A 16,975-nucleotide genomic window follows, 5' to 3' on the forward strand; every position below is an offset into this window, starting at 1 on the left:
TCCCTTTTATAAACTTCTAATAGCTGGCAAAAGATAGTAATTTCCATGACTTTTCTTTCTTCTAAGGAAGTTAAATTCTGAAGACGGTGTTTTTCTTGGAGTTAAACCATATATTGACTTGTTCTTTAAAGGATCTAATAAGTGAATAGATCAAGTAAGAAACAAATTAGTATTTAGCCCATTCAGTTGCAGCACTGTGGTTTCTTTCCAGATATGAAAATGTGAGAAATATTTCCTGAAATCAAGCAAGTGGGAGTGGGAAAGAGTATGTATAAATGTTACATGAGGAATCCAAAATCATCATCAGCATCACACACACACACAAAAATACATTTATTATTTCACACACAATTTCATTACACTTGGTAAATTCATTAGGGCAAGGCAAATGTATTCATCCAGACATTCAAATAAGCAGAAACATCTGTGCAGTCTTTAAATCTGCCATGTTAAACAGGCCTACCACTCTGTTTATATGCCCCAAAGAGCCTGAACCAAGACAGACGTAAGTAGGAGCAGCTGGATTTGACCCTAACTCTTGAAAATCCTGCCCTGCTTGAGAGGTAAGGCATATCTTCAGCTTTGCAAGCACACTATTTTGTGTGTGTGTGTGTGAGAGAGAGAAAATGGTTAAAATTAATGTGAATTTGGTTCTCCCTCCTCATATTTGTCTATATTAATATACTTTTTAATTGTTAATATTATCATTAGAAAGGTGATGGTTTCATGAATGAATTATGAAGGAGAAAAGAATTTTGGTATCTAAAATTGTTGGCCAATAATTGACCATTTTCTGCCTGGGTCATGTACGTGCACTGAGAGGTTGAAGTGTACTGTGTGTGCTTCTTCAGGCATTTCCTATTTATCTGAGACACTTTTGAGACAGAGAGGTGACTGGAGAAAATGAAGGGTTCTCCTTTATTTTTATGAACAATTCTCTACGCCTCATTACTCTCACAATTTTTGAATATCTACAATCTTTTCTCTCAGTTTTCTTAACCTCCACGCTGATGGTCCTGATTCAGAGCTACTTCGTTTATTACCCAAACACAGCTTGGGGAAGGGAAGGGGGATGTAAGGCAGTAGAGGCTTAATTCCCCTTGTTATTATACATGGCTATTGCTATTTGTCCTAGGGAAGAGGGTTAGCTTGGCCCTACTAGATAAAGAGCGTGTTAAAAAGGCCTCCCAAATTTACAAGTGAAAAACAAACATTTTGCGAGTAAAAAACAAACACACATATCCTTTGCCCATTAAACATTTTGTTTTGTTTTTTAAAATGAGCAAGGGATATGAACAGACACTTTTCTTTTTAAATTCTTATTTATTTATTTATCAACTTTTATTTTAAGTTCTGGGGTACATGTGCAGGATGTGCAGGTTTGTTACATAGGTAAACGTGTGCCACAGTGGTTTGCTGCACAGATCAACCCTATCACCCAGGCATTAAGTCCAGCAAACAGATACTTTTCAAAAGAAAATATATATGTGGCCAACAAACATATGAAAAAAATGCTAAATGTCACTGATCATTAGAGAAATGCAAATCAAAACCACAATGAGATACCATCTCACACCAGTCAGAATGGCTATTGTTAAAATGTCTAAAAATAACAGATGCTGGCAATGTTGTGGAGAAAAGGGAACTCTCATAACCTGTTGGTGGGAGTGTAAATTAGTGCAATCATTGTGGAAAGCAGTATGATGATTTCTCAAAGAACTAAACATAGAGCTGCCATTCAACCCAGAAATCCCATTACTGGATATGTACCCAAAGGAATATAAATGGTTCTGCCATAAAGACACATGTACACGTATGTTCATTGTAACACTATTGACAATAGCAAAGACATGGAGTCAAACTAAATGCCCATCAGTGGTAGACTGGATAAAGAAAATGTGGTACATGTATTCTATGGACTACTACACAGACATAAAAAAGAATGAGCTTATATCCTTTGCAGGAACATGGATGGACCTGGAGGCCATCAACCTTAGCAAACTAACACAATAATAGAAAACCAAATATTGCATGTTCTCACTTATAAGTGGGAGCTAAATGATGAAAACACGTGGATGCAAAGAAGGGAACAACAGACACTGGAGTCTACTTGAGGGTGGAAGTTGGGAGGAGGGAGAGGAACAGAAAAAATAACTATTGGGTCCTAGGCTTAGTACCTGGGTAACAAAATAAATCTGTACAACAAACCCCTGTGACAAGAGTTTACCTAAATAACAAACCTGCACATGTACCCCTGAACTTAAAAGTTATTTTAAAAAAGGCCTCCTTTGGTCATGGAGATTTGTACACAAACACAGAGCATTTTCCATTGATCCTCAGTTAAAGGCACCCTGCAGTTATTTAACCCTGACTTCACATACCAAAGGAAGTCTAATTATTTGATGTGTGCTAAACATCCTCAGTGTGGTGCTGCTGTTCAGCCACATTAAATTCACAGGACAAGTCTGCACCCTATGTAGTACAGATTGAGTATCCTTAATCCAAAAGTCTGAAATCCAAAATACTCCAAAATATGTAACTTTTTGAGTGCTGGCATGATTCTCAAAGGAAATGCTCATCGGAGCATTTCAGATTTTGGATTTTGGATTAGGGATGCTCAAACAGTAAGTGTCTGCAAATATTTCAAATTTTCAAAAAAAACCTGGAGAGGCCAAAACACTTCTGGTCACAAGCATTTCAGATAAGGGATACTCAAACCTATCAATCTGTTAAACTTTTTGATGTCTCCTAAAGACAGCCACAGCTGTTATGTATTTGTCACAGAAACCAGAATTTTCTTTAATTTAGAGATTTCTTTAATTTAGATAGTTTGCAAAGATGTAAGCATAAGAATGTTCCCTGAAACATTGTTTTCTAATTTTAAAAGTCTAGAAAAAACATAAAACTATGTTATTAGCATCTAGTTAAATCAATGATGGCAAAACTGTCCAAGGGAATACTGCATCCTTTGAAAAGAATGAGGTGGATATGTATGACATGGTATAGCATGATTTCTAAAATGAAAAAAAAACACACAAGGTATAAACCAGTATGTACAGCACATAACAGGTATACACTTTGTAAATTAAAAAATACACACATAGTAGGTTGTTCTCATTCTGTTCCATAAGGTCACTGCAAATACTGAATTAGCAAATACCGACTCATTGCTCCTAGTGGAAATACAGGGTTAGGTCCTATGAGCCTTTGGTCATAACATTTTCATCAATGGATCAATACATAACCTTATTTTATGTGTGTTTCTGTTTAAAGATACATTATTTAATATATATTGTTGATTCATTAACACTGAACTCACAGTTTGTAAGTCATACCTGAATGTTGTTTATCTTACACATATTTTCTCCGTAAGGCACATCACAGCCTTCCTGTGCTTAGGAATGCTAGATCACCCTTCAGTCTGGTTCAGTGTTAGCTGGGAACATATGTGAGAGGAGAGGTTCAAATTTTTGGCTGGTCTGCACATGTCTGCAAATGACCTCAAAAGTGCTGTATTAACTTAGAGGTTACAAATCAATTTTGAGTAGATAAATTCTCAAATATGAAATCCACAAATAATGAGGATCAGCAATACATAGACAGCATGTATGCATGTATATAAATGGAAAGTTTCTGGAAGGATTAAACTACTAGATGAAAGTTATCTTTAGCGAATAGGGCTGTGGGGAAGGAATGAGACAAGGTGCACCTTTTATCATAACCCTCTTTGCCCTACATGACTTTTTTACTGTGTGCATCCCGTAGTCCTTCTTATTCTCTGTCTCCTCCTTTTCTCCCACCATCACTATCATCGTCATTCTCTCAGCAAGCCAGTGCATTTTCTGAAGAACTCTAGGGACAAGGTTTTATTTGAGCCAAATTGCTCATAGTGAATATTCTCTGAATCAGGCTCCTGGAAAAGTTGGTCTACATAATTTTGCAAATTAGGAGTATTTTACAAATGCTAAGTATGACACTTAGAACATGAGTTCTCAGGGTAATTTGTGTCACATAATATTACCCCATATCCCAGCATGCTGGGATGGCCTGGACTTTGGGTACCTTTTGTCTGTCAAATACTCTTACTTAGGGGTCATGCACAGTGGCTCATGCCTGTAATCTTAGCACTGTGAGAGGCTGAGGTGAGTGGATTGTGTTGGAGCCTGGATTTTAAGATCAATCTGGGCTATATAGTGAGACCTTGTCACCAAAAAAAAACAAAAAAAAACAAAAAAAACATAGTAGCTGCGTATGGTGGGTGCATGCCCTAGTCCTAGCTACTTGGGAGGCTGTGGAGGGAGGATCACCTGAGCTCAGGAGTTTGCAGCTGCAGTGAACAATGATGATGCCACTGCACTCCAGCCTGGGTGATACAGCAAGACCTTGTCTCAAGGAAAAAAAAAAAACACACATACACACAAAACAAATCAATAAAAAACCCCACCAAATACTCTTACTTACATTCTTATTGCAGGTTGCCAGAATGGAAGTTTAATAAGTAGGAAATGAATAATATTAATAATATAACAATAAGTATTAAGTCAGCATATGACATATGGTATGGAAATTCTCTTCAGGTTGAATTCCCGTTTTTAGTCTACCTGCATCTCCCTCATAGAAAGGAGAGGAAGGGAAGAGGTAGTGAGTCTCTGGGTTTGGTCCTCACTGGCTTTGCGCTGGGCCCACTCAGAGTTCTTGGATCTCACCTTCCTCAGGATGTCCAGACTCAAGAGCATTCAGTTGTGGTTTGTCCTTATCATGCTTGGCTTCTTGAATGAGTTTGAAATCTTGCTATTTTTAACTTGTAATTTAGAAGATTGGAAAAGGTTTTAATTTTTGTTTGTTTCTTTCTTTGCATATGTCATGGTGAGTCCTTTAATGAAAGAAAAGCCTGAAGAGAATGTAACTACTTACCTCCCTGAAAGGCATTTTTTCTTAATGAATGTAGAGATTTCCACTTCCCCCCAGGTACTTCATGTGATGTACTGTGCCCCTAGTTAATTGCAAGCTGAAGCCAAGCTGACTGACAGTAAATCAAGAAAATGATGTATAAGGCATGCCCAATTATAGATGGAATACATTCATATTAATGGTATCCCATGGACTATCACCCTATGTCCATTGTTAATCTGTAATCTGAAATAATTCAAATCTCTGTATAATTGGGTTTCTGACAGCAGGATCCCATCCATCATACTACATCTTCTCAAATATTGAGAATATTGTCTTTTAAATATGTTTGTATACATATACACATATATATATACATATATAATGAAACTGTGAAAAATACATCTTCATTTGATAAAAAAAAGTCAACAGGCTTATAAAGAATAACTTTAGCAGCAAATGATGAGTTTATTTTAAAAATAAATTTTGTAAATGTATGGACCTCTAAAAATAAAAATACTAAAATTTCTTATATGTTTATTTTCCTTACCAAATATGACAGTTATCCACAAGTGGAACAGATTGTAGTTATTGCTGATCTTATGTCTGAAAAACCACATGGATTTGGGGGAAAAAAAAGCATATGGTTATCTATTGGTCTACATAGTTTACTGTTGCATGGGTAGACAGAAGCTTTCAGTAAAACTAAAGGGACCTTTTCTGATCAAACCCTGTGTATGGCTGATATATGTTCTGCCAATCCAGCCTTGTTTGAGTTTAAGGGTGCCTTCTGGCCTGGGGTCAATTTCTCTGTGATTGGTTTAATGTCATTTGCCCATAAGCATACATTGCAGGGTGCTGCCCAAGGGCAAGTGCACAGCTTAGGTACATCATCTCATTTACAAATCACCATCCGGCCATGTCTATGAGCACTGAGATATGAATCATCATTATTTATACACTTTAGTCATATTTGAAGTTCTTCTTACTAACCCTATAAAACTCTCAAATGAATTAGAATCCTCAAATTCACATAACTATCCTATCCATTTCCTGTAGGCAGAGCCATATGCAAAACTAACCCATTATTGAGAGGTGCTTGGTAAACATAGGCACAGAACAGACTCTAATCACGTCTTGTAAATCTGGGGTCCATTATAAATAATAAATAAAGTTTTATTGAAACACCATTATGCATATTCATTCATTTACTGTCTGTGACTATTCTTACATTACAACAATAGAGTTGAGTGGTAACAACAGTGATCTACAGCTGAAAAAGCTGAAAATGTTTACTATCTGGCCTAGGCCAGAAAACTATACTTTCTATCATGTGTCCTTGCCGTGTAGGCAGGTGACTTATGGAGAAATGGGATGAAAAAAATGGACATGGTGAGTCAATCATCAGTAGAGTTGAATTGAAAGAATGCCATTAGTTGGAGTCAGAGTCATGGCAAGAGAGAGAGAGTGTAAGGTAAAGTTGTGAGGAAGAAGAAACCATGCATTAAGAAGAGAAACCTGGTCAGGAGACAGAAGGCTGTACAACAACCCAGAAAAAACAAAACAAAACAAAACGAAAAAAAAAGAAAAAAAAAAAGAGATGCCATAAGATGAGAGAAAGAAAGAGAGAGGCAGAGACAGAGACTGAGAGACTGATCATCTGGCATATGGCCCTGAGGCAGAGATTAGCTTGTTCCTCAACTTCCCTAGGTTTCTGATAGCTGTTCAGTTCACAGACACATGCATGTAATGCCCCTGACCTCCAGGACCCCCATCTATGGACAGCAAGGAGCTCTTTTTGCAATCAAAAGAGAGGGACCAAAACAGATCATTATGTATTGCGCCATAATGAGGCAAATTTATTTCTCTTATTTGTAAGTTCCTATGGGAATGACTCCCCCATTAGATCACAGTATTGACGATAAGCATGAATAAGCTAATTTGGGTAGAAAAGTCACTTCATGTAGTAGAATGTAATGTTGACTGTTAAGATATCTCATACATCATGAAATTAAATAAGATTTCCCTTTTATTTCATTTGTTCAGCCACTCAGTAAATATTGAAGACCTATTAAGTATAAAGAAGTGCAAGACAGCTTGATGGATTAGAACATGTATGTAACAAACCCACTCCCAGGGAACATGTACAATCTTGTATGAAAGTTGAGACAGATACACTGATGACTACCACACAGAGAAACCTATGGTAATTAAGTTTGATAATTATTTATAGCAGTCACATTATGTACTAAAACATAAAGAACATAAGGCCATTCACCATGGCTATTGAGATGGATGAGGCTGAGCCTTTGACGTTGGAAGAACAGTAGCACTGTACACAAGAACTGAGGATCACTTCTTGCCATCAAGACCAGGGAAGCCATCATGGAACATCGTGCAGTGGGCACAAGAGATAGAATGCCCATTGCAACATCATTGGTAATAGAAAAAAATGAAAATGTCCATAAGGATAATAATGAGTAAATAACTGGCAGTGTCATTGTATAGGAAAATACCATACAGTAATTGAAAGGAATGAATTAGAGCTACATGAATCTATATTGATATATCTAAAGCCTAATGTTGAGCCAAAAATAAAGGTGCAAAAACATTTTTATAGTGTGAGACGAACTATGCAATATTTTAAAACATGGCAACCAATACTTTTATATTACTTAGACCAGCATACATATGTTGTATAGATTTTTTTTTAATGTTTAGACTTGGTAGATACTAGGATAGCTTTTAAATATGGAGGGGGAAAAAGAGAGGAAAATGATATTAAGGAGGCATATGCAGGAGTTTCTACTGTATGTGAATATTTAAATTTTTTTAAAACCTAAGCCTGCAGAAATATAGCAAAATGGGAGATGAATACATGGGCCTTCATTTTTTTTTTTTTTTTAATTCTCAGAGGTCTTCTGTTTGAAATATCTCAGAAGAAAAAAAAAGAAAAGCCTACGTGTGTTTATGTGGAGACACATTCCAAAGAAGGGACATGTGGCTGGTTATACTCAAGGTGGTTATGTTCAGTTAATCTACCAAACTGGATGATACGGGTCAGGACCCAGTTTTAGTTCAGAGATCCTCAGTTTTATTGTGTGCTTAGTCGTATTACTCAAATGAGTGAAATTAGCTTTTGATAGAGTCAGGGTACCACTTCATGTGACCAAACAAATGCACGAAGCCTGGAGATGGCTGTGTTTGAGCACAGGCTTTGTCCTGCTCGCAGATGTGCAACTGTGCATCTATGGACAGCAGTAGAGGGCTTCTAAGAACACTGGTGGCAAATATGTCAGGAGTCCCTGGCCAATACTGTTGATGCGAAGCTAAGGTTCTAAACAGTTTTGGATCACAGCCTCTTTCAGAATCTCTACGTATTTTAAAAACCTGTGAAGCATGTCCTTAAACAGACATGCACGTGTATGTGCACATATGCATGATTACATAAATTTCCACAAGTTCATAAACCAAGGGGTTTAAGAACCTTAGTTAGGAAACTCGTGTATAGGCACATTACCTTAGATAAATTTGGTCAAATCCTCCAGTGAAGATAACTAATGGTGCAGTTTCTGTGAAAACACACAGGACTCTGAAAATGGAGCTACGGACCCAGTAAAGAGTTTGTACAACTCAGTGAGACTTCCTAAATTCATTGATTTACATACTCTACTAACCACCATCAATCTTGGCACACAAATGACCAGAATATACAGAATCTATCTTTGCTTTATTTGTTTTGTAATGGTTCTTGAATGCTTCTTTAAAGAATAAAACTACTGGACATAGAAAATTCTTCAGCTTGTACAATCATTTAGGATGGTGTAATTCAGATGAAGCATTACACGTGAAAAGGAAACTCAGTCAGATGACAAGCAAATTCTTGGCATCCAACCCTGACCACCAATGCAGAATATGACTAAGGAATAACATTTTTAGTAAAAGGTCACAGACAACATGAACTTAACACATTTTATTCACCTGGTGGCAAATAGAAATGAAATCCCAGAAGCTTGGTTCCTTGAATAAATATTGCAGCAACTGACACATCCAAATATATTTAATACAAACAGTCTCTCATTGCAAGTGCTATGTTTTTTCTGACCATTACATATTTTTACTCATTATTTACACAGCTAATGACTGTTTTATAATGTTAAACTCAACCTTCCATTTTTCTGAAATTATGTTTATATAGTTATTGGTTTGATGGAATAATTAAAATGCACTTATGTGAGATATAAACTAAGTTTCCTTTTCCTGTCTTGTTTCTTATAATTTAATCTGTATTAGGTCATTCAACTAGTAATTGTTATTCTAATAATTTCCCCTATTTTCTTTTCTTTGAACTGGCTGACTAGCTAAAGTGTATAAAAACAGTGACTCATAGACATGCATTTTGAAGTAACCAATATAAATAGGTACATTCTGGTTATATCACATTTTAGACAACTGCTTAGTCAAATGAAATGCAAAAAGAAAAACGGAAAGAAAACTATTTCAAATACCTTGAAATGTGTGCTTCAAGCTGACTTTCAGAATAGGTGCACATTTATATAGCTATGTAAAAAAGAAGGGGAAAAACACAGAAATTCCAAAATATTTTCAAACTGGCTTAGACATCTTGACACTTTACTGTTTTCCTCTGCCAGGAGAGTAAATGAGTGGTTTGCCCTCTGGGGAAAAATCCATTTAAAAGCGAAACTATTTTAAATGCATACCTTTTTACAAGAAAGAAAAGAATAGTTCTTAGTAGTGGGGGAGTGGGTAGGATATATGTATATGGAAGGGCACAGTGAAATGTATTAGTATAGGGTCTTGTTTACTTGTAAGTATTTTCTTCCTTTTTGTCATTCCTCACACATTTACATGGTTAGCACTGGTGATACAAAGAAGAAAGAAATATTCCTAGCCTTCACGTGGTTTTAGTCTAAAGGGAGAACACTCAGGAAAAACAGTGTGCATCAACCTAGAGATGCCATGAGAATGAAATGTGCAGTAACTAATCCATGGAGGAGAGGATGGTCAGAGGGGGTCGTGTTTAAATTGGGTCGATTAAGGTTGCAAAGGGTCAGCCTATTTTAAGAGGGCAGGTGGGAAGGAATAGGAACAGAGGCCAAATGCAGGAGATAATATTTTGTAAACTGTTTTGTAAATGATAAATTGTACCTTCTGTGTGGAGGTAAAGTATGAGGGGAGATTTCTGCCTTCTTCCTATCTTGTTCTTATATATTTGTTCATATATTTAACATAGCTACCCCCTTATGGTATTATAATTACCTGATTACCTTTTAATCTCATCTGTGAAGTCCCTAAGTGTAGGAGCAGTACTTTATCCATCTCTTTTCCCTAGTGCCTAACAGGTCCAGACAGCTGGTAGATACAAAATGAAGACTCTTTTAGTTGAACTGAGTGAATGAAAGGATGGACAGATGGATGCATAGATAGATACTCTGTAATTACAAAGAAATGTACTTGGGCTATGACTCCTTCAGTGGAAAAAACAACATAGCAGAAAAAATGCAATACATGGGGTGTGGTAGAATTGTAAAAATATTTTTACTAGAAATACTCTTGGACTTTATGACAAATTAGAAATTATTTCCTTCTATGCCTGGCCCTTCCAAAATTTCACATTCATGCATACACTAGTATACTTGTTAAATTGTTGGACAAAAATCTCCTTCGATTTAGAAGTCTATTATTTCGTTGAGATGACAGTTTTTAACTAGTAATGAAAGTTTTCCAATGAAAACACTCTAATTTTGCAATGTGTACCTCAATTTTGTGAAAATAAACGGCTGAGTATACTGGAACAATCTTAATTCTGTTGAACTCCTTAAAATGATATTACATATCAAAGAGTACACCTTTAAACTACTAATGGAGGAAAATAGAATAACTCAAGGAGAGCAAGCAGACAGCTGGAATTTTTGGGAAATGTCTGTGGTATTTGGGTTTATTTTTAAGGGAAAGAAAAATTTCCCATTAAATTTTATAACACAATAACACTTTTAAAACTTATACTCAAAAAGAATCTTTATAATGCTGTTGTAAAACTCAGATTATATTTTATTCATGAATTACAGATTTCTTTTTTGATGACGGTGGTTAGGGTAAGAAGCGGCTTTTATAAGCTTTATTTATCTCTTTTAATTACCTCCTTCTCCTGTCTCAATGCTCACACTTACACTCACTTTAAAAAATTTTTATCTTTCATGGGATCTATATCTAAATAACACCACATCATATGTAAATTAAGAAACATTCCAAATATTCTCCGGGACATTGAAAGGAAATCAAGCAAAACATTCTGTAATGTGTAGGCAACTTTAAAAGTGCTTGAGGCAGAAGCAAAAAAAAAAAAAAAAAGTGAGAGAAAGAGGCTTTCTAGCCTGTGTCTTTTTTAGTTAGATGTTTCAGAAGATGAAGAAATTTTAATTATGTGCTTCCTTAGAGTGAGATATTAATTCCTCTGAATCATTCTCTCCAATTTTGAGTCCCACTCTCATTTTTCTCTCCCTCTTCTTTTCTCCTGGTTTTTCCCCCTCCCTCTTTACCTTTTCTCCTCCCTCTTTTTCCTCCCTCCCCTTTCCTTCTCCCACAAAAAGCCAGAATTGCTTGGTGGTAATTCCCTAGAATTGAGCAGGATTGAACTGGGGGTCACTCTGGCTTTGTACTGTTCCCTTTCTTATCTAACCTGAATATCCTTGGATCTGTAAGACTTTTTCTGATCCATATCACAGCCTTTTTCTCTCCTCACCGTTGCCAGTGGGATTTCTCGTGGGCTTTTGGAGAGGTAGAAGGCATACTTGTGAATGTCAAAAGAGCTGTATTCCTGTATCCTGTTTCAACCCTGAGGAGAGGCACTGTGCTAGTGAGGAAAGAACACCCAATCCTAGTCAAAGGACTGAGTTCAATTCAGCCTCACAAGAGGCTCTAAGTATGATCTTAGACAAGGAAACTTCAGGCCCCAGTTTTCCCATCTAGAAAATGAGAGTGGTTAGAACTATATCACACTGAGGATTATGTGAATTTATATATACGTATATAAAGCCGTGCACCCAAATGCTGTTTACAGCATTCTGTGATGAATTCCCTATTTCAGTTGGTACCATTTATTCACAGACAATCACAGGTATTCAGAGATTGTAAGAATTATGGTAGCAATTGCTTACTATAGTTTGTTTATTCCATAAGAGTGGCTTTCATTTTTTTTTAAAAAAGAGACCTCTCCCTTGGATTTTCGTTATAATATGTTTCACTTGCCACATTTTCTGAATTTTTCCATGTCTTGAAGCCTTTGTGATGGTGTTTCATAATCAACCTGCAGGTTGTCAGAATCAGTGGAGCATGCCATTTACTGCTTGTCTTAGATACACTCAATGATTCTTTCTTTCCTGAGTGCTTCAAGTTTTGGCTTTAAAGATCCTCCTTTGTTTTAATAGATTTTCCATTAGTGTCTGCTTATGTAATTTTATCTCCATTTCTAATTGTGAAATTTGTTGCATAGATGTAAATTTTCTTTCAGTATTATTCAGAGAGAAGATAATGGTTGATACCCAAAAGAGGAAGCTAAAAATGCCTTTTAAAATTCTTACTATATTTTGGTGATTTTTACCAATGACATTATTGTATAGTTGTGGTCATTATACCGTTCATTAAAAATATTTATTTGAAATTACTGCATGAATGCCAATCTCTGAATAACATCTTTGCAAATATAGCATGTTATTTTGTCAGTCCAAATGTGTGCTAAATACTAATTCATGTTGTTAAATGTGGATATAAAAATAGTTAATTCTCTTGCTAAGGATACTCATTTATCAAAGTAAAGTAACATTTTAATATTTTTCAAGACAACTATTTTTAAATATTTATTAGAGAAACTGTTCTAGGAGAAAAATTAAGATAAGGTATTATGTATTTTACTCTGTTATGGACACATACATATTTGGATATCAGATAGTTTCATATCAAATTACATATCTTTGTACTCAATAAATATTAGAAAAACTGTTTACTCATCTGTAAAATATAAATAATAGCATCTTCTCATTGAGTTACTTTGAAAATAAATAAAAATAATACCTATGTACAGGACTTAACCTAGTGTCTACCATAATGTAAGCACATAATGAATACTTGATACTGTGATTGAGTACATGCTATGACTATAACCCAGAATAAGACAATAGGAACATAAAAATAGAAATGATCATCATTTTAGATAGGGGAAAACAGAAGGGAAATACAGAGAAATGACATCATTGTGTTTGAGACCATATGGTATCAGAATTGGAATAGAAGGAAACTGGAGTTGGGGGAGGGAACTGGAAGAGTGTTGGGGGTTTGGGAATGAAGAGGTGATACTAAGTTGTGTTTGGGAATATATTGGATTTAAAGTGATAGAAAGTAATTGTAGTGAAGATGGACTGTAGTCATCTCATGAATTGGACCAGAACTTTAACATTGTTCATTTAGTTTTCCAAGAGATATTTACTGTGGGCCGATACTATGTGCTAGATACTGTGCATTGGTACAGTAACCAAGGTACAGTAAACCAAGGATGGAAATACATAAATTTGTGAGTCGGTTTTCTGAGTGAAAGTTAGAAATAAGGAACAATGTACTAGGCATGAAGTGTTGGTTAGTGATTACAAATAGGAGAGGAGAAAAGAAAAGTCCCCAATGACACAAGACTAGAGGCTGAAGACATATCAAGAGAGTGCTGCACGAGGGGAGAAGACAACTTTAAGACATTGTGATTTCCAGAAGAATCACTTTTATATAAATTGAATGCTTTCTAGAGCTTAAGATCATTCTTATATGTTTCAGTAACAGAAAATGAAGATAAAGATAGATTATTCTTGGCTTTTTACCTATTTACACATGAAAATGATTACATACATCTACTTATTCTAGTGTGATATTATTTTCATTAAAATAAAGGTATTGAAGGAATTGTTCAATGAACAAAGAAAACTGTACTTTTGACTAAATTGTAATTAAGTATGCTTGAACATTTTTAAATGCTTAGTTCTGTAATTTTCTGCACAACATGTAGTAAACCAGACATATTTCCAATAAACACTGCTTACCTTCTTTTTGTTTCCATGTTTAATAGCCAAGGTCTGTCTGTCTTTCTTTCTTTCTTTCTTTCTTTCTTTCTTTCTTTCTTTCTTTCTTTCTTTCTTTCTTTCTTTCTTTCTGTTTTTCTTTCTTTCTCTCAGAAAAGAAAAAACAAGCCTTGGATTCTTGTTTCAGTAGCTATGTGCAAACAAAATGGAAAAAAAAAAAACAGAGAAAAATCCTCCACAATAAATCGTAATGGACATATAATCTGTATAACACAAAACTTAGTCACCAAAGGATACTTGAAATGCTGCTAGATCAGTTCAAATCAGCAAATATGTATTGACTTCCCATTTTTTAGCACTATGTTAGGTGCTACAGACCACAAGCTCACAGTCTTCAAATTAAGGAGACAGTTATATAAATGATATAAAGGAGAATCTGTCCATCACAGTGAGACATCCAAATGGCTATGAAGATTCCAAGGAGAGACAGAGCATCTGGTTGAGAGAGAGCAAGAAGAAATTCCTAGAGAAAGTGGAATTAGAGAGGAACGGGGAGTAAGAAATGAGAGTAATGCCAGGCTCCGGATGAGGAACAACATGGGCAAAGACATGGAGACAAGCTTGGTGTGTGGTGTTCCTAGGAAATTATTGTCCTGTTGACTGAAGAAAAAGGGACATAAAAGTGGAAGACTGATAGGAGATTTGGATAGAGAGGAATATGTCGGGACATACTGTGAGTGCTATCATGAGGAAATTCGGATTGATTCAATAGGCAATGAAGAGCCATTAATGGATTTTGAGTAGGGGAATAACATTACTGGAGCAGCAATTTAGAAGACTGATTTGACACCAATGCATAGTATATTCTGGAATGAAGACAAATGGCAATTGGAGAAACTGGCTGGGAACTTATTGTTATAGTTTAGCAGTTAATGAAAGTCTGAACCAGCATGGAATGAAAATGAAAGAATCTATATATGGGTCTTCCAAGATGCAGATATTCAGGAACATTCCATACATCCAAAGTTTACATCTGTATAGTATTTTAAATTTCCATTTGCCCTCAGATATTTGGCACAGATCTGAGAGTAACCTTATTGGCACAGGTGATTCTCAGCTGCAGAGTACCACTTTTGTCTGTATTAATGGTGTCTTCTCTTCTTTACAAGGCCACCAAAGTGGATGCATAATTAAAATTTGTTGCTGTTTCTACTCTACTTGTCCTGGACGCTCATGCAGCCAAATTTCACTGGGGACCCAGGACCACACAAAACAGTATGGTGTTATGAACTGGTTGCCCCAGGAGTTTTAGAAAGTCTTCTTAATTACTTTAAAAAGGCAGCAGCTCTCCTCACCCACTGTAACTTGAACGTTGCATGTTTGGCCTCTAGGATCAGTCCTCAAATGCATCTCTACCTAGTATTCCATCAGGAGCAATTGGTATATTTGAAAATGTATTGCTTTATTTAATTTTCATGAAGCTCAGTTTCCCACATAGTAAAGACAATAATCTCTGAGCAAAAATAATTTCAGTTATTCTTATCACATTGTCTATTCATCTATTATATCTTTGCAATATTAAAATGCATTTAATTATAATAAAACATTTAACACAAGTAACTGGAAAACAAAAATCTTTCTCAACTGATTATTCTTAGTCTTGCTTTTATCTCCCTTTTACCTAATAAAAGCAAATTTAGTTTTCTTCATTTATGAATCCAATAAACATCATAGACTCAACTTCCTGATATTTATGCTCTATGAGGGTTTCTCCACCACACAAATTTATGTCCACTGAGAGCATCTTATCTCTGGCTCTGACACTTTTGGCCTGGAACTAATCACTGCCATTGACCATTGCATCTGGGATGCATTAGACTCTGTCCCTAGGTGCTTCAAGATTTTATTGTACAACACCATTTAACAAATTATTTTATTAATAACCCAAACCCTGTGAATCAAGGTACATTTTAAAGCCTAATAAAATTATGGTTTGGGAGGCCAAGGTGGGAGGATCACTTGAAGCCAGGAGTTTGAGACCAATCTGAGCAGCACAGTGAGACTCCATCTCTGCAAAAATAAAAAATAGAAAACATTAGTTGGGCGTGGTGGTGAATGTCTATAGTCGTAGCTACTCAAGAGATTGAGGCAAGAGGATAGTTTGAGCCCAGGAGCTTGAGGTTATGGTGAATTATGATTGCACCACTGCACTCCAGCCTGAATGGCAGAGCAAGACCCTGCCTCTAAAACTAAAATAAATGGAAATAAAATAAGATAGAAAATAAAATTAAAATGATGGCATGGGAGACCACTCACATTTCACAAATTTGTTTTAGCCTCTACACAAATACTAGTAATTAAATCATATTTTTTAAATTGTAAGATTTAGAAATGTGGATATGATTTTCCATATGTAAGAGAATCACAATTTTTTCTCATCCTCTATAAAAATTCATCCCCTGATTAATTCACCCAGTTGACAAATAGATACTTTTTCAATGAAATATATTTAAGTATTATAGTGCACTTTCTCAGACCGCAAGAGGTTATTTATTTTACTTCTGAAGGTTTTGAAGTTTGCCTCATAGACTGTAAGTGCCTAAGGAAAGAAACAGGGTCTTGTTCACCTGCAGTGGTTCCTGGGAGATGCTCAGAAGTTTACTCAGAGTTGCATAATGTGCCAAGACTATAAAATTTTTTTCCTCAAACTAAAGCCTTTGTAGATAGAAATCTATAGCTTATTTGCAAATGATGCTATGCTATGTTATAGTTACAGCTTTTATATTTGTCGAACTTGTATAATTGTTACAATTTTATAAGAGAATTTAATGCAGCCTATAAAGCAACATTAGTTTATCTTTGATATTCCCAAATCTACCTATTCTCACTTGTTATTCGTACTTTGTGACTTCTCCAACCTCACTTTTCTTGGGAAGGTCCACAGAATCTGATGCATTGAGGCCACATTAAGATGTAAATGATTACCAGACTTCTGAAATATTTGC

The 16,975-nt window shown here is 35.7% G+C and overlaps 1 protein-coding gene and 1 long non-coding RNA gene across 10 annotated transcripts in view; both read left to right on the forward strand.

The window, feature by feature from the left end:
• The window catches only part of KCNQ5 (potassium voltage-gated channel subfamily Q member 5), a 576,790-nt gene that overhangs the window by 18,932 nt on the left and 540,883 nt on the right, over positions 1-16,975 (forward strand). The gene's annotated exons all lie outside the window — the stretch shown is intronic.
• Positions 1-16,975, forward strand: part of KCNQ5-IT1 (KCNQ5 intronic transcript 1) — a 48,064-nt gene that overhangs the window by 10,501 nt on the left and 20,588 nt on the right. The window lies entirely within an intron of this gene.

Source organism: Homo sapiens, chromosome 6, assembly GCF_000001405.40.
Source record: "Homo sapiens chromosome 6, GRCh38.p14 Primary Assembly".
NCBI classification, from domain to species: Eukaryota; Metazoa; Chordata; class Mammalia; order Primates; family Hominidae; genus Homo; species Homo sapiens.